Consider the following 25610-nt stretch of genomic DNA (forward strand, 5'->3'; position numbering starts at 1 on the left):
GCCATACCTTTTCTAGATCAATTCTTTGTTTAGTTTCACCAGTACATCAGCATCTTCAATTTCTTCTATTCCCATCTCAATAAGCAATGGCTTACAGAAAAGATAAACCTATTTTTTTAAAAAAAGCAGGTTTTTAAAAACCTGCTTCCTTCCATAAAATTTGTTTGCATGTGTGTATATATATATATATATACATGTTCGATTCTCATATGATTTCCAAATTAGAACTCAAGTTCAAATGATCAAATCATGCTTACAAAACAAGATCTATAAAATTAAAACAGATTGATGGAGGACCCCTTACCACCACTTCTACCATATCCCTGACACATACGACTCACCCAGAGGATCCACTTTTCAGTCCCTAGGTGCAGCCAAGCCCTCCACTAAACAAAGCTCTTCCTGACAGGGACTGGGTGAATGCCTCTATAAGAGATCACCACATATTTTCATAGTTTACAAGGATAAAGCAATTACAGCTTCAGTCGTTCATGAATAAAGCCTCTTTAACATTTTAATGAGAACATTAACTCAGCTTCACTTGGTTTGGCCTCTCTAGAAAGTCTGTTAGCCTAAGAGAAAGTTTCTTTAAAACCCAGTAATGAAATTGAGGCCTCTCTGTGCCCCACAGGGCATAACTGGGCTACAAACACTGGCTGGACTATTTCTCTCCTGAAGTAGCCTATATTTTTTGATAAGACTACAGTTTGGTAAATGAAAGAAGGCATCTGAAGAAATACCTTTCTCTCTGCAGTATTTGTGTGCTTGTGTGTGCTCACTCATTTTATATCTGACTTGTCTCCTAATTTGCTTTTTATGTTATACACAGCTTTGAGTACAATGTGTGACTCAAAAAATGTTAAATCATACTTTTCTGCAATTTTCCCTTAATCATTTTCTACTGCCTCTGTTCTCTCTTGCCGCGTGACTGATTCCCACCAAGGCTACCAAACTGCCATTCGCCTGGAGACCCATTAAATTCAGCAGAAAACCAGCAGAGCTTCAGAAGTCAAAGGTGAACAAGAAATAATTCCCAGACTCAGTGACTTAACATGAATTTCTGCCTCTTCTCTGGACCAAACCAGGAGCAGAGTGAATGAAAGAGTTTGTCACCTTAAGAGTAAAGCTAAAAAGAACGAATGTCCAAGACACACATGCATTTAACTCTTCAAACATCTGCTGAGTATGTATTATGCAGCAGGAATTGTTCTAGGTACTGGGAGTACAAGCCAGGAACAAGACAAGACTCTCACTCCCACAGAGCTAAAGTTCTAATGGGAAAGACAGGTGATAAACCAAAAAGAGAATGTCAGAGTGCAATAGGTGCTATGAAGAAAATGCAACAGGGTGATGAGAGGCTAGAAAAATAAGGTGAAAATTTAAAGCCAAACAGAGCAAAAGGCTACAGCAAAATCCTCAAGGTCATAAAAAGACATGGAATAACCTTAAAAGCACATTGCTAAGTGAAAGAAGTCAGTCTGAAAAGGCCGCATACTATACCATTCCAACTACATGACATTGAGGGAAAACTCAAACTATGGAGACAGTGAAAATATCCATGGCTGCCAGGGGTTGTGGGGGAGGGAAGGGAGGGAGGAATAGGCAGAGGGCAGAAGATTTTAAGGCCAGTGAAACTATTCTGTATGATACTACGAGTGGATACATGTCATTATACGTTTATCCAAACCCATAGAATATACAACACCAGAAACAAACCCTAATGCAAATGATGAACTTTGGATGACAATGATGTGTCATCACAGGTTCACGGATTATAACAAATGTAGCAGTCTGTTGGGGGATGCTGATAATACAGCAAGCTATGCATGTGGGTTGTGGGGAGCTATATGGGAAATCTCTGTACATTCCACTGAATTTTACTGCCAACCTAAAACTGCCCCTCAAAATAAAGTCTTTAAAATCCTTAAAGTATAAAAGAATGTGGTGAGCTGAAGAACCGAAAGGCCCAGCTTGGCTAAAGCACAGTGAACAAGGTAACCAGCAGAGTGGCTAGAGTAAGCCTGGCAGGTCACGTTTAGAAGCCTGAATTTCATTCTAAAAGCACCAAGAAGCCACTGAATAGTTTCAAGCAGGGCTTGTCATTATGTGTTCTACATTTTTGAAAGGTCACTCTGGCTGCTGTATGGAAAATGGATCACAGAGAGGCAATCAACAGAGGCTGATGATGGTGGTCTAGTCTACAGTAGTAGCAACAGAGCAGCAGAAGTAGATGGATTTAAAGAGGAGCTGACAGGACTGGTGATGGACAGATTGGATGTAGGGGATAAAGAAGAAAGAGGAATCAAAGATGATTTCTGAATGAGAGGAGAGACCATGCACTGAGATGGGGAAAACCCTAGCTACAAAGACCACACAAAGTGCCATGTGCCATGGTACAGATCTCTGGAAGCAGTGGGAATGTTCAGTCCTCCAAGGGAAATCAAGTTCAGCTTGCTTGATCTCTGCCTTAGCATGAATAGCAAATGTGTGTGTGTACACATATACACACACATATATGCATATATACATGGATATATGTAAACATATATGTTTTAATACTGTTTCTGAAATTCAAAGCAAGTTTTAAATCATGTCAGCAATCTTTCGAAGAACAGAGAGGCAGGGTTGTTATTGTTGTCCCAATTAACATGCAAGGAAGCTGATGGCAAATGAGGTGAAAGGTCTTTTGAAGGTCACACAGCAAGCAGTCAGCAGCACTGAAAGGAGGGGCCCGGCTTCCTTTCAGGAGTCCCTGCCGTACATCACACCCTCTGCCTATCATCTGGAGCATGTGGGGCACCCTGCAAGCACTGCGAGAGAACATTCTCGGATGAGGTAAGGGTGGAGGTGCTGCTCCCTCACCCATGCCATTTTCTTTTTGCTCATCCCATCACAGGTGCTATTTTAATAACCCATAAAATGTGGCTGATAAAACCAAAAGATCGTTAACACCAAAGCAAACTTTACAGAGAGCAAATCAAGTATTAAGGTATATTGTGGCATAGATTTTTAGACAGACATTTAAATTATGAACCACAAGGCATCTACTGCACAAGCTCTCCAAATCCTTCTGAGGGCTGCACAGGTGGAGATTCCTCATGAATGGAAGAAACACTCATGCCCAGGAATCACAGGCCTATCAGTAGCCTCATCTGGAATTCTTCATCCAGTCTTTAGGTTTCTCAAAGAACATCAAAAGCACTGCACACATTTTAGGAAAAAAAGACAAAAACACTAGAACCAAAGAGTTCACAGGTCTGGTCTTTGTAACATTATTTAAAGGAATACAATTTATCTAGATGAAATTACCACTAAAATAAGTCAGATCATATTTAAAGACACATGCTAGGGGCAGGACTGGGAAGCCTGGACACTTTGTTTAGTCTGTATACTACCTGTACAAGTTTTAAAAATACACTTTCATTTTTCATCTACCAGGCTCTCCCTCAGAGCTGTGAGGACTCCCACCTCAAATTTAGAAGTCTGAAAGAGAAACAGTGAAGGGGTGTCCGCCTCTATGTTTGTCCCTGTGAGTCATACATTTTCTGTTCCTACTAAATGTGGGTTGGTTGTTTTCTAGTTGATTTGCAGACTTCCTCTCTGCTGCTTTTCTCTAATAATATTTTTCCAAAGGACCCCTACCTTGCAAGCACAGTCCCACTAAGGAACAACAGGCAATTATGCATGATCACAGTGATCACAGTTACTGGGGCCTGAAATAACTGGACTGAGAACACCCACAGAAAGGGGTTCAGGGAAAAGAAGTTTGAGATAGCTGGTCCGTTGCACCCTGACCTCCAGTCTACAGATTTAGAAAATCACTTGTCAGGGCTAAAATCATGGTGGTCATATGTGTTGCCTTCTTATGAAGATGGAGTCATTTCCATTTATTACTGGTTGTCTTGCCAATACTTTCACAAAGATACACAGTAATATGCTCTCAGCACACACAAAGTAGAGTTGAAACTTGCCCTGCCATTAAACACTCAAGTGGGTCACCCTCTGAAACTGCCCACCGAGTCTCCCACCAAGACCCTTCAACAAGGCCTTATCTCTCTGTCCAATCTGCCCTACAGAACCCTTTTTACTTCTGGACACATCACTTTCCCATTTTCTCATATCATTAAAATTTTCTTTCCTTTCTGGGAGTGTAGTCAATGAGATTGGCAGAGAATACAGGAAAGGCAGATGGCAAGCATGAAGGCAAACTGGGAGTAATTTGGAGGGGCCTGGGTTCAGAGAGCCTGCTCCCAGGAAAAGCCCGAGTCAGTCAGCCATGGAGATGGACTGCCAATGGGAGGCAGGGAGAGCAAAGAGCACATGAGTGAGAGTGGCCAAAAGGAAGCAATGGGTCAGGAACAAGCAAAGATTCAAGATGAGGGCTTTTGGTGCCACTATGAGACATCGTACAGGTGGCTCTGAGGCTGGAAGCAGGAGGCTGTAGAGTGCCAATGCCACCTAAACTGGAAAGGGCAAGAAACTGAGCCCTCAAAAATAGGACAAATACTGACAATTTTCTCCCTTCATACTCAAAACAACCTCTCTCTAGAGCGCTCTTTCTCTTCTTTCCTTCAAATCTTGAGCCCAATGTTTGACACTTGATACCTTGAGGTGCCAATTATCATAGTGATGATTCTATAAAGTACACAATTTCACACTATAACTTTCTTTGCAAAGCATTTTTTTACATGTATGGTATCTTTTAGTTCTCACAATGTTGTGACATAAGCATTATTAAATGCACACATCCTGACTCAAAGAGATTTAGAATCATGCACAATGCTACACAAGTGAAAGAATCTGTATCCAAATCCAGGTCTTCTGACTTGCGATCCTGTGGTTTCTAGAATATACTATTAGTCTATTTCTTGTTATTTTTATTTATTTTTAGGTTTCATTTTATTTTAAATTGACAAACAATAATTACATATTTATGTTAGTCTGTCTTGTCCTCTAATTCTCTATTCTCTACATTTCACTAATTTAGACTTCACTAATTCGGAATTGGTGAGGCAATAAAACATCATTTGATACCCTATTTACTTGGAAATCTGGGAGGTGCTATACAAATGTGCATACAATATATCCAGGAGGCTGAATGGGGAAGCTACCATCCTGAAAGTGGAGAAAAAAAGAAAGCTTGCCTTCTTTTAGTCACCAGGGCCAACATCAGCAATTTAACATCAATATGAAATTTTTAAAATGGATTTGCTAACTATAAATGACTTAATTTTGAATTCATGTCTAGTTAATATTCTATAAAACTCAAAAAAATTCCTCAAATATAAAAAATATGATCTTAAACTAATGGTACTTAGTCTACAGGCTAATTTTTAAAAACTATCACATCCTTATGATTTTTGTCACGTCTTTATTATGTAACATAGTATCCTGTAGTTCAATTTTTCTGTGAATTCAGATCTGCCTGTCCTTGTAGAGTCTGGCATAAAGTTGGTTTTCAAATATTTGTTGACTAGATGATGGATACATACATGAATGAATGCATGTGTCTGTCAAGTTACACTCCATGTCAGCTGGAGAGTTAAATGCCACTTCCATCAGGCACAATGGACCAGTCCTGGACTTTAGAATTCCACAGATACAGATTCCAATCTAGCTGTTTGTCAGCTACATCATCTTAAGCAAGTTATCTCACCTCTGGACTCCAAGTTTCCTCATCAGCAAAATGGTAACAACACTGAGTAGCACTCAGAACTGCTGTGAGGCTAAAGTGAAGTCACACACTCGATACACTGCCTAGGTTGCCGCCATTAATATAGCTTATTTATCCTCTCTCCTCTCTCTGTCTCACATTTAGCATGACCCCTTTCATAAGACCAACCTTGATAATGGTGTTTCAGTATATAAAACCCTGTTGTAAAGTTAATGGCCAAACATCAACTTTATTTACAATGACTCAATTTCCCCTCTACTAACATTAAACTTATTTATTCATGGTCTAGAGATAGGTTGTTATGCATAGCAGGTGTTCAATAAATTTTGATAATTTTAGAAAAAAAATTTCCAGGGAATTGAAGCTCACTCTTTTAGGCACTAATACTCTCTTCATTTGAAAGCTTTCAAAAATATACTATACCCTCAACCACTATGCTGAGCAGCAGGTTGAAAGAACTCTAACCTCTTCTTGACTCAGTTATCAACATGAACTTAGACTTAACACCGTAATGAAAAATAATAATTCCTTGAGGGTTTTTTAAGTCAGTAGATCTGCTCGTACCAAATGTTCCCAGATTTCTATGCCATGATCATTTCTTCCATTTCTTCCTGTGGTCAGCAGCATGAGACACTGGGGAATGAACAAGATCAAGTCCCTGTCATCTTTGAGGGTTTACCAGGAACAATTCCCAGCTATTTCTTATCTGTGGCCTCATGACACACACACACGTTTTGGTAAAAGCTTCAAGGAGGGACCCTAGTCAAAGGAGGACTGCTCCATCCCTCATGTTTTACACATAATACCTACTCAACAATATTTAGGAAGTGAACTGAGTAAACAGTATGTAACTTTTGTAATTAGTATTTGGAGATAAAAACTATTTGTAGTTTCTATTTGGAGATGTTTTTCTAACCCATGGCTAGGCCCTTTACTCATTTGTGGCTACATTTCTTCATCTTTAAGATAAGACAATTGGGTTAAATTATCCCTAAGATCCTTTTCAACACTTATATTCTATGATCTAATACTCCAAAGCTCCAGATGATAGAACTGCTGGAAATATGACCACTGGATAAGTGAGGTATTAGAGGACATAATGAATAAACAATGCATCCTTTGCCTTCAAATGCAAAATCCTATCAAAAAGATATTATCTGCATATCATGGAAACAAATGCCCAAAAGATTAGCTTTCTTACTTCTTTCTCTCACCTGAATACCATATACAAGAGTAGACATATTGACCTTGGAGTGTAAACATACTGACCTTTTTATTTTCCTTGTGTCAAATGTTCATAATAAATGAAAAACCTAACATATCTCAAAAGAAGTCAACTGCATTCAGGCAAATACAACCCTAAAGGGGTTTTTCTCATAACTAAATGCAGTAATGCAATGCTTCACTACCTTTTGTTCATAGTTATTTCCTCAAACACCACTTGGTTCATATACTAATTTATTCACATATTTGTTTAGTGTTCCAGTTTTACTCTTTATACAGAAATGAAATCCAACTTTCTTAAAGTATGGTTTAACTGTATTAAAACTAAAACTTCTAAATTAAAAGAAGTTTCATAAGTGTACACAGAAAAGAAGTAGATGCTTTCAAATAACAAGTCAAATATTTTTCAACAAGTACCTTGGGAAGGCATTCTGAGAACAGCTTTGCCCCTAGAGGCCCAGGGCAAGAGAAGTCATGGACAACTCTCTATTCCAGATAGGATGGTGTTCCTTCAGTTCAATTCAAAGTATACCTTCCTCAAGCACTATACCAATTCTAAAGGGGATAAAAAATGAAAAAATACATCATCTCTGCCTTGGAGAAGATGCAGCAAGACTGAGTGCATAGGGTAATGACATTGGAAAATGATGTCCCAGGATCAGATCCCAACTTCACCATAATTAACTGTAAAACTTCGGCAAGTTATTTAACCTCTCTGATTCAGTGTCCTTATCTGCATAATGGTGATGATAACAGTACCCACCTCATTGAGTTGTTATGAGGATTAAACGGAGAATTACTCCTAAAGCATTAAGAATGATTCCCAGCACACAGCAAGTACTCAAGGTTAGTATCATCCCTGTGAACATACAACCCATGAACTATTTTTTTATAAGTAAAACTGAAGCTATAACAGATGTCAGGAAATGAAAAGACAAAAACAATCTGGAAAATTATTTTTCCAACCTTCATCATTATTCTTGTGTCTTCCTGATGAATCCTAACTACAACTATTCCTCAGAGAGATATAGAGATAGCAGAGAATGGAGGTGTGAAGAAAGAAAAAACAGAGAAACATGAAAGGAGAGAAAGAGAGAGCAAACAGGAGGTGCATTTCTGTATTATCCAAAGCCATTAGAAAGGCAGACACTGAACTAAAGTTGGAGAGAAGGCCACACTTGCTGCAGCCCTGCCCTGCCCCTTTCCCTTCTCCTCTCAGAAACTCCTTCCTCAAGCATTGAGCTACCACACTTTTGTCCTAACCATTTCTTTGCTTTTCTTTCCCATTTATACTTTTGTTTTATAGAATATGAGGAGAGACTTTATATGTTTTATAGAATGGAAAAGGCTTTAGAAGTCACCACCTAACACAATCCTCTCAATTTATACATGAGAAAAACTAAGGGCCTGTAAGACAAAGACATTTGTCCTGGGTTGTATAGCTCTATAATGGCACAAACAAAATCAAAACTGGACTCCCTAAGTCCACACCATTTCCCTTAGGACAACAAAATGTATACATTTACCCAAAAGCAATATGGCTAGCCTTTATCCCATATGGCAGATATTTAAATTTTTCTCTTGGGAAGAAAATCTTGAGAATTTTTTTTAAATGAGTTAACAAGAATCTTACTGTTTTTAATTTAATAAATGTGTTTTATTATTGACTTTATTGCTTGCTAAGCCTGAAATTAGATTTCTCTATGTTTGGGTATGTCTTGTCTAACCAATAACAGGACAACCAGACTGCAATTAAACAGATATTCCCACTTGGGCCATAATGCATAAACACACACACACACACACACACACACACACACACACACACACACACTATCAGGAGGCACTTAAAGTTTCAGCACATTCTCGTTGTCACTTTTCTGGCCTGTTTAGGAGAAGGAGATATTAAATATTAAAAGGCTCTTCTAATATACAGACTTCAAATCATTTATCTTCCAAAGGAGGAACAAGTTTCTTGTCATTTCCTCATATGCTATTTCTAACCCCACTGCCTGCCCATTGTACTCCATAAGTTTTCATATCTGTGCTCAGAATGTCCTTACTATGCTTTGCCCAGATCAGGTATACGGCCTCCTAAACGTTCACTGCTCCTTACTCCCAGCCTTCAACTCCATAATGAACGACTGAGGCTCTGAAATCAGAGCCTTATAATAATATATTTTTTAAATGGAGCCAATAACTATACTTTTCTGTTGTTGTTATATGTCAGATCTTTAAGTATAAGGATCTGGATAAAGCAAACATTTTAAAACAAACAAAGCCTCCTGGTTTGCTTATACTCTCCCCATTTCTCTAGTATTCAAGGTAGCTATCTTCTCTTCCATTCACTATGTGGGGCTTCATAAAAGGTATGAACTCACTGTGACTAAAGGAAAGGTTTTGGCAGTCTTCTCACACTTGTTTAGATAATAGGAACATCTGAATCTGGGCCACTAAAACCAACTCAGTTCCACGGTCTAAATAGGTGTTTACTTTTAGTAGGCTAGACCTGCAGAAGGCCACTTTACTAGAACCATGCTTGGTAAGTATTATTTACATGGATCTATACTACTACTACTATGTGTTTTGTTTTCCTTTTTCTGTTAATTTTTCTTTCACAGCAAATGCAGGCTGGCCACCATGGGTGGTGGCAGTTGTAGTTACCATTCTCATTCATAAGAAATTCAATAATAGAAAAAGTAGAATTCAACATTACAAAAAAAATTGCAAAAATTAAACACTCAAAGCTCAGAAAGAGTTGAGCCAAGATTTGAAAGTTTCTAAGGAAGGGGAAAAAAAACCACATTGCTGCATCCTCCTACCCTGCATGCCAGCTAGCAGTGGCAGTTCAGTCTCTCCAGATGCCTCTCAGAAAAAGAAATGCCACAAATATAACAGGAGTTGAGATCCTGGGGGAGCCAATTAGATTTAAGGTGCTTTCAAAATTCTGTAAAAGAAAAAAAGGCATTAGAAAAAACCTGGCACTTGAAATGACATTTTATGTGTTCCGCTTAGGGCCTTTGGAATACTACTCATATAAGGGCTGGTTGCCATGCTTATAAAATAAACTTTGGGTTTTTAATATAACAGAACAAAATCATTAGCTAGTAAAACAAACTTAGCTTCAGAGGGAGAATGTGGCACGTCAAATCTAAGGTATCTCATCCTTTATCTTTGGAATTGTCAGCCAAAATAAGACAAATCAGGCCAAGGTCAATGGCAGACACTCTACTGAGAAACTCTCCTCCTAAGACTGACTGTTGTGTAGTACTTTGAGGTTCTGGCACTTGTCAAGCAATTATTTGGGGGTGAGCTGCAAGGCAACAGAAATTTTCAGGCCCCCCACCCAACACCATACCAGTTCCTCAATTGCCTTTCGATATCCCATGACAAGAGAGGTAGGGGTTGGGAAGGAAATGGGGAGCTCAGAAGGGACTGCAGTGTCTCCACAGTTACAGAAGCAGGTCTGGGGTCCAGCTGGTGATGGGGAGAGATGCACTACACTAATGTAATGGCTATTTGTCAGTCCATTATCATCTTTCCCAATGAGATGCAGGGCAGATGCATCAAAGACAAGAGAATCAGACAAAAGACAGTGAGATTTAAAAATACACCAACTTCAGTTGGGTTTTTGGGATGATTTCTTTTCATCCCAAGATGAAACAGCCACAGATCCACCTCCAAACTGGAGGCTCAACCAGGCTGTCTCCTCAGAGCCCCACTCACTCATTCACCTTCTCTTTAATATGGTATGAAAGCAGTCAGGTCCAAGAAGCCAGCACAGGGGTATGTGCCCTCCTGAAAAACATTCCAGGGCTACAGGACAAAGACAACTTTTTGTTCTACCGTGTAGTTGAATGTCTTGGCGACACCACCTTGACCTCCTCCTCCTGGTAGAGGGGTGGTTATTTCACTGCCTCTGGCCAGAATTCAAGTCTATAAATATGTATTTAGACATGGTTCTGTGTCAGCCACTGAACCATGTGTCGCAAAGGACACTATGGGAAGAGAACTCATATTCTGCCTCCATAGATTACCCTCTAAGCTAATGAAGATGTACATGTCTGTAAAGGAAGCAACTTTACTTGCTGAAACCCTGTTATTTCCAAGGCCTACCTTAAAATGTAACCTACTCTGCAGTGAGCAGAGATCGCGCCACTGTACTCCAGCCTGGGCGAAAGAGCGAGACTCTGTCTCAAAAAAAAAAAAAAAAAATGTAACCTACTCCATAAGGTTGTCCTAACCAGAAACAACATCTCCCTCACTTGAGCTCCTATGTCCTTGTCTATCTTCTATTTTAGCCGTTTATGAAATTGTCTTATTGCCCCTTTAAATTCTTTAAGCAGTGATATTTTAATAACTGGTAAGAGCAATATGTCAGAAGATGTCAAGTTCTTGACTGTGTGGTAGACATAGGTATCTCAATTATTGAGGAAACAAAGTGGTCAGAAAGGATTTCACTCAGCTATATTTGATGGGACACTAAAATTGAATTGTCTAGAGGAAGGTTTTAAATTAAGTAAGAAGATGAGCAAAAGTCAGATGTCCCAGGATGTCTCCTAGCACAGATATTTAAAATGTAGGAAGTTCTGACAACCTTCTGAGTGGCCATGAAGGGTGATCCAAAGTCCTTTTATAGCAGATTCATCAGTCCCATGATAGCACCTCTAATCCACACTAGTGACAGTAACAACTGGAGAATAATAATATATTTGTTTTTGAGGCCCTGGAACATCTCTGAGGACTATCGCCCTACAGAGAACAGGTAATCTTCAGAAGCACTTGAATTCCCATGTTTACATTTACCACAGAGACTGATATGACCTCTTTGGAGGGAAGGAACAAGTAAGAGCTAAACTAAGCCAATGCTTCTTTCTGCATAGTAGCCATAGTCAACCATAGACAGCGAAAGTTGTGTCTCTTTACAGATTTTTTGGAGCAATATTTTCCCTAATTACAAAATAGGAATGCATATGTTATACTCAGTCAAATCAAAAAAAATAATGATCATAGCTAAATAATACCACTATAAATATTTGAACTTTGTAATGGTTTTCAAAGAAGTAGTATTTAGAATGTCTCTTTAGAACTGCTAGTTTTTAGAAATTACTGTCCCTTAAGCATTTACTTTCTTTTTGGCCTTACTGTGTAAATCATGCTGCTCTTCCTCGATTTCCCAGGATCCCCAAGGCTGTGCTCTACAATGCTTGCTTTAAATAAAACTTGGTGCCAAAGAGTCTGCCGCAGCTTTCAAGTTCACCCGGACGACACTTTCCTACAATGGGTCTCTTCATACTTCACTATATCCGGATCTAGTTGATCCGCATTTTCTGCACAAAGTCTCACTTCCCAGCAATTGCAATCTGCATCTTGCATAGTTTCCTTCTATTCCCCTGGGTAGCTTGCTGCCAGGAAGGCAGAGGAGAAGAGGAGCTTTTTGATGCTAACAAGGCCTCTGTGTAGGACTCATAGCTAATGGTAAGGAGTTGAGTATGGCATTTCTCAGGGGAGCCCAGGTGAGTGAAAGTGTAAGGGCACAGCTGACAGCCATGTGCGTACCTCGCTGCTGGCCTAAAGTAGGTCCTCCAGCCTCTGAGCAGTAACCTGTTCATGGCTTACATCATGAAAAAATGAGTCAGTGCACTTGGCAACTCATGCCCTAAAATAGGTAAGGCCTGAACTCAAAAGGAAATTCTGAAAGAAAGGCATTATATGGTGACAGGTTTTTTTTTAAGTTGCCGGTGGTAGGATAAAAGCTAATGAATTATGAACATCTGTATTATTCTGCTGTCTTCCTCCTTCTGGACTTTTAGATGACTGTAAGCTCAACTTTGAGCTCAGCTAGTATTTTCTCCTGGGCATTCTGAGAAATGAGAACACATTTGCCTGCTGGGAGGCATACCCATTACTTATCAAATTAGCCCTCCTCAAGAATCTAACAGACTTGTCACTGCCTTTAGAAATCCCAGAAGGAAACACACACACACACACACACACACACACACACACACACACTACATGGTTGAAACACTCAGAAATCTCTTAATATATGTGAAGTCTTGGCCAACATACAGCAACCAAGGAGTCAAAAGTCATGTATGAGTCCTTAGGGATAATCTTTAAGCAGGCTCTTGCCACTGTCATGATTGGAATAGCAAAGGAAAAGCACCTGACCTTCTAAACAAAGAAGAAACAAATCAGTAAAGCTTAGATATTGGGACTTAATAACAAAAGATAACCTTAAGTAGCTCTCGGGATATACCAGGACTTTATTTGTGTTATCTCATTTAATCCTCATGATAATATCTTGAGGTAGACTGGTAGTATTAATATTCTCATTTTTTAAGATGAGAAAATCAAAGTGTAGGAAGCTTTAGTAACTCATTCAAGTCTCCCCTGTTAATCAGAGATGGGATGTGAATGCATGCTATCAATTACTTCTGCTTATCAGTGGTCAATGATATTTTCTATCAGGATTAGCCTACATCCAATAAATTTTGAAAGATGAAGGAAAAGATGAGCAGAAAAAAAATGCAGGAGTTCCTTATTTTTTAACAAAGTGAAGATAATACAGGGAAAGAACACAATGTCAGTCCATTTCTGTGTTATCTGGCTTACTGAGGCAAAAGGAGGTTCTGAACTCGAACCATATGAATGTTGACCCACAAAGACCAGGGTTTGTTCTTAGCTAAGTGAGTCTTTGGTTAAAGATTCTCACATAGACTCTGAGACCTTACACACATGGTATCACACTCATTCAAATGCAATTTTCCCCATTTGGCTATTTCAAGTAGTCAACACACAGAAACTGCGTTTTCCTCCTGTGTCTCCTTGGGGAGGTCAGGGAGGGGTGGTGACATCATGGGAACAGTGTCTGTCTTCTCTCCTATGACTCATCCGAGTATGTCAAAGAAATGCTGCTAATGCTAGTCCTGCAGCATGAATTATCCTATCTGCCAAGCAAACTCGTGGAAAACAGCATACTCTCTCCATCACAGCCCCAAAGAAAGGTAGAAAAGGCAGCAATGAAAAACTACTCATGCAAAACCAAAGCACAAGAGAAGTGAACTTTACTCACTTCCTCCGCTCCTCACAAAAAAGTATATATACATTTCCATTTTCATGTTGCCAGAAATAGGTAACGACGGAATTTGATTCCTCCTCTGTGCTCTCACACCACTTTGTACAAATTGCTAAATTACAATGCTTACCATATTGTCCTATAATTAGATTTTAGGTGTCTGCCTTCTCACTAGTGTAATAACTCCTTTTTTCCCTTACCATTTGTATTCCAAGCATCTGGTATCACATTTAACAAATATTTGCTAAACAAACAAATGAAAGGTTGAATAAATGGCATTTGCTCAAGGGCTCTCTCTAACTAGGACAAAAGTAATGTTCTTTTTCCTCTATTCTTTGTGACTGAAAATGGCTGACACAGTCATATTGGACGGGGGAATGGATCATGTCAATCTGGAGTATTGGGTGTCTCAGATGTTCTGGCAGTTACTGAATGAGTGTCGTATGTGTGGTTACACATGTATCTCATAGTTTCCTCTGCTTTTGTATTCTACAGAGTTTGTCTCTTCCCCACTTGTACCCACCAAGCCAGCCTATTTCATGATTGGCTCCCTTAATCACTTATTTTCTTTGAACTTAATTAGGTCAATTAAAATCCTTACTCTAAGAAGGCACTCTTCTTATTTTAAGTTGCAGGAGAGAGAGGAGGGCGGGAAACATCACTTGATATTACCCTACAGTGCATGCTATGTTCCAAGCATGATGGAGGCTGGATATTCAGCAAGACTCAGTACATCCGTGGCCCTTCCTCTTGCAGAATTTACAGTCAGTGGGAGAAAGAGAGATAAATCATAAGGCCAATCAAATGTAGTAACTATAATGACAGATGAAGCACAGGGTGCTATGGGCCACACAGGAAGGAAACCAAAGCCAATCTGGAGATCAGGAAGAGCCTCTAGACAACATACCTTTTACATTTTGACCTGAGAGATAAGTGAGACTTATCCAGGTGAAAGGAGAATGTAGGAAGGGGGAGGAGGAGACCCAGAAACTAGAGAGAACACAATATAAACAAAATACTCAAAGCTACTGAGGAGGGCTAGTGTTTAAGTGAGAAGGCAAACTCAGGCTCCAGCTATTTTCCCATTGCCCTTATCCTAAGGGCAATGGGAAGCCTTTGGAGGATTTTAACCAAGGTAGTGACATTTGGATCCGAGTTTTGGGAGAGAGACCTGGGTTGTAGGTAAAGTCACATAGATTTGGGAGTGGTATCATTAACGGGAGGTTAACTGCAACAAGTAGACCTTCAACATTTCCTTTTAGCAAGATTACTGTGGTGCCATATGGAGAATGGATTATAAAACTGTGAGACTAGATGTGTAGAAACCACTTAGGATGCTATTTCAGTAGTCCAGATGAAGATGGTAATGGTGACATTTGAAATGGAAAGAAGTGGATGGGTTCAAAAGAATACTAGACAGAATTAGCAGGCCTTGGCAATTGACCAGATGAGAGGTTGGCAAAATTTATCTGCAAAGGACTAGATAAGAAATGCTTAGCCTTTGCCAGCCATATGGTTCCTGTCACCACTACTCAACTCTGCTGTTTAGTGAGAAAGTGGACATAGACAATATATAAATGAATGAGCATGCCTGTGTCCCCATAAAAACCTATTTACAAAAAAACAGGCCATAGGCCAAATTCGACCCAAGGCTAGGGCATGCCAACTCCTGGATTAAATGAGGAGTGTGGCAATCAGAATAGTAAAAATGGCTCCCAAGTATGTGAACTCAGCGTCTGGTTGTCCGGGGCTACTATTTGCAGAGAAAGGGGCACAGGAGAAGGAGCAGGGTCAGAGGGAAGGAGGCAGTGACCAGTTTTAGACAAGCTGAGTTCAATATACCTGAAATATATCACCCAAGATGTGTCTAATAAGCAGTTAGACAGTTGGATCTCAGTTTCAGGAAAAAAGATCTGGGCTCTAGGTAAGTTGTTTTAGTTAGGGTCATCTAAAATATACTAACAGGCCACAAAAATCAGTGGCTTCAGTAATAAGTATTTCTTTCTCATATGATGACAGAACTCAGGCCAGGGCTGGGGGAGGACAGTTGTTCCAGGAGCCCATCTGATGGCAGCATCCATCCTACTCAGCCAAAAGGAGGAAAGTTCAGAGACAAGCATTTGTAGGAGGTTTCTATGGAGGGATCCGAACTTCCAGAGAGGTGACAAATGCAGTCTAGCTGTGTTTGTTTCTAGGATCAGGAGTAGACTGAATTTTGGTGAACAGCTACCAGGATCTACCACCAGAGTCAAAAATACATAGAGAGGTCAAGAAGGCATGAAAATGAATAAAAGTGATTCAGGCAACTATAAAGCATGAGACCAAGGTCAGAGCTCCAAAGAACACCAATGTTAGAAGATACACTGAAGAGGTAAAAGGAAGATCCAGCAAAGTAGAAGAATGACAAAACAAAAATAAAACGAGACTGTGTTAGATACTTAATCAATGTATGTAGAAATGTGAGTACAAATTTCATCATTAAGCACTGAGCACATCTCTGACAAGCTGACATTATTTGGTGCCTCTGATATTTAGATGAAAAATAAGCCAAATTGGATTTAAGAGAAAATGGCAAAATCAGCTTCTCGAAAAAGCCAGATTTTCATTACCATGCAGATGGACTGCTTTAGGGCTATGTGTCATAATATTCATTTTTTCCATTTACTTTTGTGTCCATAAATCAAGCTCTCTCTATAGGAGAAATGTATATTCTGCATCAAACATTTTATGTGATCTTATACACATATGAACTTAATATAAATATGAATATACATCTGTCGTTGTATACACACACTCAACACTCAAAGGATTCATTATCAAATGCATTTCTTTTTCACTTCCATTTTTTGCAATTTTCCATGCTCTCTGCTTTGCCCAAGGCTTCTTCTCCACCACCCAAACCATCCCACTTTGCATGTCTGTTCTTGGCTCTCAGTGGAAAGACCAAGGAAAAGAAGCTAGACTTCACCCTGATAACATTTTAAGTCCTTCTCCATTATTAGAGAATACAACAGAGTCTGTAGCCTGAATGAAAAATCCAGGCCAGAACATCCATCCCCTGTTCCTTGGCTCTTCCTCCAAGAGATCTCAGCTAGGAAAAGGGAGATCTGAAATCTTGCTGGCATGTTACCAACTAACAGAGTGGTATCCATCAATCTAGCCTCTTCTCTCTCTCTTTAGAATGTAAGGTATTCAGGACAACCATGGGAGTTCTGAGATTTTTGTATTTAGAACACTCTTTTTAGCAAAAGAACATCCAGCCTTGCTTATAAATAAGTTAAAAAAAAAAAAAAAAAGACAAGCAGATTAAAAAAAGCTGCCCAGGAGGCACTCATAGAAAAAACAAAATTAGTAACCTCTTCTACTTGCCCAGCATAAATTATTAGTGTACTCAGCTTGACCAAGTGACTATTTATAAGTCTGAACACCATGGTGTTCAATAAATATAATTGAGGATGGTGACAATGCTACCCATATTTCCTTACTTAATGACACCCAGTTGGCAGTTCAGTAGCACAAATCATATGCATTTTACTCTTCCTTTACTCGTCTTCACATTGTAACTCATATCAGGAATGAATTTAACCATTGGAAATAGCCTTCCAATTAGCAAAATTAATTTTTCGTTTGATTTGAAAGAGACCAGCCAGTGGATATAAGCAAGGAAAAACTCCGCAAGCAGCATTTCTGGCTTCTGTGAGGAGATTTTCTGTCAGCTCCAACAAGTCTTTCTTATTGCTACTTTTATAGGGTCATCATTATTCAACGTCTCCTAGCTTCAAATATCATCTGCAAAGCACATCTAGAAATTTAGCTGGTGATGCAGATAATGTATGAAACTGAGAAACCACTACTTGTTTCCCACTGGCTAAGTTAAATATATAGTTTAGAAGATTTTAGAACCTCTCAGCTAGTCTGAGGTGGGAGAAGGGCAAGAGTTCGCCAACACCATGTGTACATAGCCTGTGAAACTTCTTAGGCATTTGTTCAAAAGAGTATGTGAATGCAAAATTCACAATTTGGACATTTTATCTAGCCTTCAATTGGCAACTAGGCTGGAACTCCATCAACTTTGTTTAGTCAGATCCTTCTCTCATCTCTGCCATTCTTCTAAAGCCACAAAGTCAACCCTGCCATCTCCTTCTCTTCACAAGACAATCTTGTCTCCTCTATGTCTAGAAAATCAAAACCATTTACCAATACTGTGAAACTTAGGACCACCTTTCACTCTCCCATCAGCATCATTTTTCATAAGTAAGTACCAAAACAAGTCTTTCATCTGCCTCTGTTCTCTCCCCCACCACCCCTATCTTAGTCCGGGTGCCCATCACTCCTTACTTAGACTAGTACCTCTCGTCATCTTCTTGCCTACTGCCTAATTTCTCTGGAATCCATCCTACTCGTCTTCCATGAAAAGAAAAAAAAAAACTATCTAAAACACCAATCAGATAGTATCATGCCTTTGTATAAACCCTCACAACAATTACACCATCTGAGAATAAATCTACATTTATTCCCTGGTTACAACCTCATTTCTCATGACTTCTGTCACACATTTCACACCATACACACACAGCTGCTAGTCCTCACCTAAGAGACTTTCACACTCAAGTCTCTGCCTAGTATGTACCTCCTCATTAATCACCCCACCCTCCCTTGGTTCATTCCTACTATATGTTTAATGTTCATTCAGGGATAATCTCCTGGAAGCCCACAGACTTTTTTTTTTTTTTTTTTCCGAGACAGAGTCTCTTTCTGTCACCCAGGCTGGAGGGCAGTGGCGCGATCTTGGCTCACTGCAATCTCCGCCTCCCAGGTTCAAGCGATTCTCCTGCCACAGCCTCCTAACTAGCTGGGACTATAGGCACGTGCCACCACGCCTGGCTAATTTTTTGTATTTTTAGTAGAGATGGGGTTTCACCGTGTTAGGCAGGATGGTCTCAATCTCCTGACCTTGTGATCCACCCACCTCAGCCTCCCAAAGTGCTGGGATTATAGGCATGAGCCACCGTGCCTGGCCATCTGGACTCATTCTTAATCCTCTCCAAACACTCTCTACCTAACTCTGTGAGTGAACTCTAATACTTCTATATGTGAATCTACTTTTTTATCTCTGAATTAGTGGATGGTAATTGACATATGGAACAGAATGGAGGAAAGAGAACTTGACCTAAGGATCCAGGGGAACTTAGTGTATGATGACTGGAAAAGCCACGGATTCTGAAATAATGGTGTTGGGATAACAAGTTAACATACAGAAAAAATAATTTTGGATTCTTACTAAGTATCTTCCCCCAAAATTAATTCCAGAAAGATTAAATCTTTAAATGTTTTTTAAAATCACAGAATTAGAAGAAAATTTAATGGACAATTTCTATAATCCAAGGGGAGAAAGTTTTTCCAAGTATAATTGTAAAAGCCAGAAACTATAAGGATTGATACATTTGATTGCACAAATAAGTAGCTTTTCAATTGGGAAAAAAAAATGCTATAAATCCAAGTAAGAAGACAATCAACAAATAGAGAAAACTGCATATTTAGCACATTGCCTGACATCTAATTTACTTTGTATAAACTGATTTATATGTAGAGGGCTAATCTCCCTAATATATAAAGAACTCTTTTGAACCAACACAAAAAAGACAAACCTCCTATTAGAAAAAGCAAAACAAATGACATGAACAGGCATACAAATTGCCTCTAAATTTATGTAAAATTTTCAAATTCCCAAAGAAGTTCAAATTTTACATGTTTTGTATAACAGAATAACAAAGATTTTAAAAAATACTCTGAGTTATTGAAGACGTGGGAAAATGGGCACTGTTAAATACTGCTGAGAGTAAACTGATAAAAATTTGCAGGAAGTAGTTTAAGAGTACATATTAAAAATTATGACCCAGAATTTTCACCAGAATGTATCCTAAATAACAACCTAAACATCTATCAATGAGGTGTTCTTAAATTATAGTAGCTCTTTATATTACAGTATCATGTACCATCAAAATCAATAACACGCATATTTACAAAAAAAGCTACACCTATGTTATAAATTTATTTTAAAAACTATATTTGAAAACAATTTATAACACAGTTGTGTTTTTAAATAGGTGTGCTTACATGTACAACAAGAAAAAAACTTAGAAGGATATTTCTCAAAATGTAAATCATCATCTCTAAGAGGTGGAACTATGAATTCCTTCTTTATACCTTCTTTCCTATACATAGATTTTTGAATTATCTGATTTTTTTTCAAAGAGCATGTATACTTTTATAATTAAAATTATTATGAACAATATAATTATTTCTACTGTTTAATAAGAATGGAGAAAGACAAAAACCAATGTTTGTGTGAATGGATAGAGAAGAGTCACATGTCTAAAAAAGCTGCCATTTTAACTAAATTATACCAACCACAACCAAGGAACACTCATAAAGTCCAGCTTGTACAAAGTTTGACAAATCCAATTAACAAAATACCATAGACTGCCTGGACAGTTAACACTATAGTTTTCCTTTTCTGAATCTTTCTCATACACAAAACAGTCAGCTACTATTCTAATTCCAGTGGCCGTGAAACAAGAATGAACTGTTTCATATCCATTCAACTCTGATCATTCTTATAATAGAAAAGGTGAAGCTAATTTCCTTTCTCTGTCTCTGAAAGTTTGCCCATCTTTTGTCACAAAAAATGTTGGATGGCCTTTCAGCTCTAAGGATAAACGCATGCACAGGTTACCAGGACATGTTGCAAGTTTATATGCATGTTCTCATATGAACAATAATCATGTCTATGATTAGCCAATAATTCTCACAAAACAGAAGGGTATCAGTAACATAGGCAGAAAAATCCAACAAACAAAAATGTCGACTAAGCTTTAAATTCATTTTATTACCCAATATTATAAATTTTATTACCCAATATTAGTTCAAGTCCATCATTTTAAAATAGGGTTTATCAACCATAGGGAGTATGGGGAAGCTAGGACTTGGTGACTGGTCTTCCTGAGAACAAAAGAAGTAAAAGTTATTTATAGTGACCTTTTAATGTTTACCTTAGAGCTGCTAATCCGATGTAAATTGTCACCCCATGGATATGCATAATCAACTTTATTCCCTTTGCTAATTGAGAAATAGAGCTGTTAATGTCAAGAAACATTTGAAAAATGCACCAAGCCTGCTCAATGGAGCAAGTTCATTTTAAAAGTCAGAGTTTCCATATGGTAAAATCATGGAAATTAAACTTAGGGGAAAAAAAAAAAAACAGAGAGAGAGACTAATTTGTTATTGAGCTAGTCTGTGCTAGAACAAAATCAGTCTTAACAACCCCAAGCCTGGAAATTTTGACCACTTCTTATGTTCAAAAGTAACTCCCTCAGCTCTTATGAAAAATAATTCCATCACATCTCTCCAAAGTTCCTCTCCTGCTGAGTTTATGCTTTCCCACCTGCACTGGGTCTGGCTTAGCAGTCACTTTGCCAGGACACTCACACAATGCAATTCACACAAGTCAGTCCTTCTCTTTCTTTTACTCTCTGGTAGGTTGTCTTTTGAGTTTCCTTTAAAACTGATCACTGAGAAGTAAATGAGTGAGTCGTATGCCAATTGTGTAAAAAGGGGATGATAATATATTCCCTTGAGTGATACTTGAAGATTGCTGTCACTTTTATAATGCCACATATGGTAGAAGTAGGCAAAATTTTAATTTATGGTTAATCTTAGAAGAGATGTGGTTAAAGCAGTCACTGGCTGCAAGGGACCACTTTGCCCTCTCCTATTCCAAGACAAGACTCACTTCTACCCTTCCTCAGTGACTTCCTTGTTTTATAAAACCCAAGTTTTCTCCCGTTTCTTTGAGACAATCCTCATTATTGAACATTCTCCCCCTTGAAAGAGCTTAACTAAAATCTTCCCCTTAATTGTCTGCTGCATTTTGTCTAAGAAATTAAGGCCAGCCCTAAGCATGTGCCCCAAACATTCTCTTCTCAAAGGCAAGGCCAGCAACCATTCTGTTTCTTGCGACGATAGAAAACACAAGTCACAGTGAGAAGAGCACAAGCACTAACCACACACATCGATGGCACACTTCAAGATCCTGCAAGGCAGACTTAGTCCTGAGTGAGTGGGGCTTAGTCCTGAGCACATCTAGACTTCAATCTCCTGCAGTCACCAGGCCCCGCAGAGTGATATGTTCACAAAGACACACCTGATGTGAACTGCATGCTCTTCTGAGAAGGTAACCCATGATTAGCAGAATAAGCTCATATTTAAAAAAAAAAAAATGGTTCTTTACTCCATTCCCACCACACACTGCAGGGATCTAAGTAGGGGTTACCTAACCTCTCTGAGCCTTGATCTCCTCATCCATCAAAGTGCTTTAACTGACCTAATCACAGCCAGAGGGCTCACCTTGGTTCAACAAAACATATTCAGACCCATTCTCCTTTTACTTTTAAAAAAATCTAATTTTTTTTTTTTTTTTTTTTTTGGAGACAGAGTCTTGTTCTGTCACCCAGGCTGAAGTGCAGTGGCGTGATCTCAGCTTATTGCAACCTCCATCTCCCGAGTTGAAGCAATTCTCCAGCCTCAGCCTCCTGAGTAGCTGGGACTACAGGCATGCACCACCGTGCCCAGCTAATTTGTGTATTTTCAGTAGAGACGGGGTTTCGCCATGTTGGCCAGGCTAGTCTCGAACTCCTGACCTCAGATGATCGGCCCGCCTCAGCCTTCCAAAGTGCTGGGATTACAGGCGTGAGCCACCGCACCCGGCCTCATTTTTTTCTTCACTTTTTACAAAATAACAGTTTTACTGAAATATGATCCTCATACCCTAAATATTCCCCGTTTTTAAGTGTACGGTTCAGTGATTTTTAATATATTCACAGAGTTCGGCAATTATCACCATTATTTAATTCCAGAACATTTTAATCATCCTCAAAAGAAACCCCATATCCATCAGTAGTCACTCCCCATCCCCCCACTACAACCCATGATAACTACTACTCTACTTTCTGTTTCTATGAATTTGGCTATTCTAGACATTTCATATGAATGAAATTATATAATATGTAGCCTTTTGTGACTAGCTTCTTTCACTCAGCATAATGTCTTCAAAGTTCATCTATGTTGCAACATGTGTTGGTATTTCATTCCTTTTGATGCCAGAATAATATTTCATGGTATAGATATATTAATACCAGATTTTGTTTATCTATTCATCAGTTGATGGACATGTGGGTTCTTCCCACTGTTTAGCTATTATGACTGATGTTGTTATGAACATTCATGTACAGGTACTTGTATGGAAATATGTTTTCAGTTCTCTTGGATACATAGCTAAGAGATATACTGGGCCATGTGGTAACTCTACGTTTAACCTTTTCAGGAACTGCCAAATTGTTTTCCAAAGTGGTTGTGCCATTTTCTTTGCTATTTGATATATTTTGGTTCCTTCTGTGTCTGCTTTCTGGTTTTTGGGGGCTCAGCTGGGAAAGTAATTGGGATACTTCAAAAGATATTTTACACATAGTGGACAATTTTTAGCCATTATAGGTAGACACAAATACACAGTGGCTGAGCTTGGGAGCCACAGAATGTGGTGCTATAGGGCACACCGAAAGGATATCCATGCTAGTTAGCAATGATACCTGGAGTTCAGAGAACAATTTAGGAAGATCTGGGTGGGTTTTGATATGATATAGCAATAAACAACACATGGATGCACGCACTTAGACCTTTATCTCAGGTGCTTAAACTATAACCAGGACAATTCAAGACGTACGTAAATAATGACAGGACACATTTTTGAGATTCCTTTGCTTTTTTTTTTTTTTTAAGAATATATAAGAATATTTCCAGCTGGCCATATCAGAGAAGATGGTTTTGGAACAGAAACCATCTTCACTGGCTCTTGAAGGATAAAAATGTCTTAAACAAGCAGAAATGAGGAGTTGCATCTCAGGCAGAGGCAACTGTATAAAGAAAGGCACAGAGTGAAACATACAAATGAGGAGCTGGAAAAAGATACAAAAGAAATGAAACAATTAACATTGAATATGAAAGGTGATTTAGAAGGTGGAATACAAGATGACTCTACGTTTTTGGCATGGAAGATGGGATAGACCACTGTGCCATTAACAGAAAGGATGGTCAAATCTGAAGGAAGAACTAGTAGGAGCGGGAAGGAAATGAGTTCAATTTTAGACATAGATTGGGTTTAAGCTATCAGGGGAACATATGTAGGTAGGGTCCATTAAGCAAATAAAATATAGAATTGGAGCTTAAGAAATATATTTCCTAATAGAGGTCATTGCTGAAGCCTTCAGTGGGAACACAGGGAGAAGAAAAGTGGCCTGTTATAACTTACCCTCAAAGAGGAAACTCAGTCCACTGCAGAACAAAGAAGACCAGGACAAGGCCATGCAAGGGCTTGGGAAACTGACCAAATTTTAGGGCTCAACCTTGAGGAAGGGAGCTGGCTGTTCAACTACAATGTTCTGAAGGACAGTGCAAACACAGGCTTAATCAGGCCAGAGCTGATAACTAGGAAGTTTAATCTAGAAAGTCAGGCACAGCAGCAGGAATTTCCAGTCACAGGCTAGCCATATCAGGACAGATCACCTGCCACGGGATCAGGAGATGAAGGACAGAACTCAGCCTCTCCAGAACTAGCAGGACCTGGGCAAAATAGACAAGTTCCATCCAAAGGGACGGGATTCCAGAAAGACTCTAGTTCACACAAATTGGACAGATCTGATAGGCTTTGCTGGAAGGATACAGGATGGTCTGAATACGAGTAACCAGAAGTAACTCTACCTCCCCTCTGTCAACACCTGGTTTACAGGAGCAAGACTGGTTTGGGTCCCCATATGCTACTTACTGTAGATGAAGCTTCTATTGTTCCTTCTGCCCTGTTCAGGAAAGGCTCACAAACTGACTGAAGCTAAGCTTCCAGATGCTCCATCACACCAGAATCAGCATTGAGGAAGGAAAGGATAGGGCCTTGCAGTACATTCACATTTGGCAGGGCAAAGAAGGAAGAGAGAAAAAGAAGATACGGTGGTGGATACATTCAAACACTCTGTATATCAGCAGAGAGTAATGATGAAGCAGGAGAGAAGGAGATCAGAGAAAATGAAGGAGTGGACTCAAAAAAAATGGGTGAGTCATCAGGGAATCCCTTTGTGTCACTGGTTTTCACCTAAAATTTTACTTTACCATATCCAACAGTGATGCTCTATTACAAATAATGCTTTGCTTGTCATCCTGCCTTCAAAAGCCCCTTTAGTTTTCAGCAACCAATACGTAAGAATCACAACTCCTACATAAGTACCTTTTGGTAAACACATTCAATCTTGACCTGGAAGCTACAGTAAAAACAAAGAAAAGATCAATTATATAAAGTTGGAAATACAGACCTCCAAAGACCCTAACTGTTAGAGTAGCCAGCACATATCAGAAACTTTACAGAATGCCAAATCACAGCATAAATAATAAAATGTAAAACTCAGTGGTTATAAAAATAGACTGTGAGCTAAAACTTAAACAATTAAACCATATTATAGAAAGGCATCTTTTGAAAATTTAAAATACTACAATTTTAACACATATAAAAATTCACAAAAATGAAGTTTT

The 25610-nt window shown here is 39.0% G+C and overlaps 1 protein-coding gene across 28 annotated transcripts in view; it reads right to left on the bottom strand.

Moving 5' to 3' along the window:
* Positions 1–25610, bottom strand: part of ENOX1 (ecto-NOX disulfide-thiol exchanger 1) — a 573843-nt gene that overhangs the window by 459871 nt on the left and 88362 nt on the right. The gene's annotated exons all lie outside the window — the stretch shown is intronic.

Source organism: Homo sapiens, chromosome 13 (genome assembly GCF_000001405.40).
Source record: "Homo sapiens chromosome 13, GRCh38.p14 Primary Assembly".
NCBI lineage: Eukaryota > Metazoa > Chordata > Mammalia > Primates > Hominidae > Homo > Homo sapiens.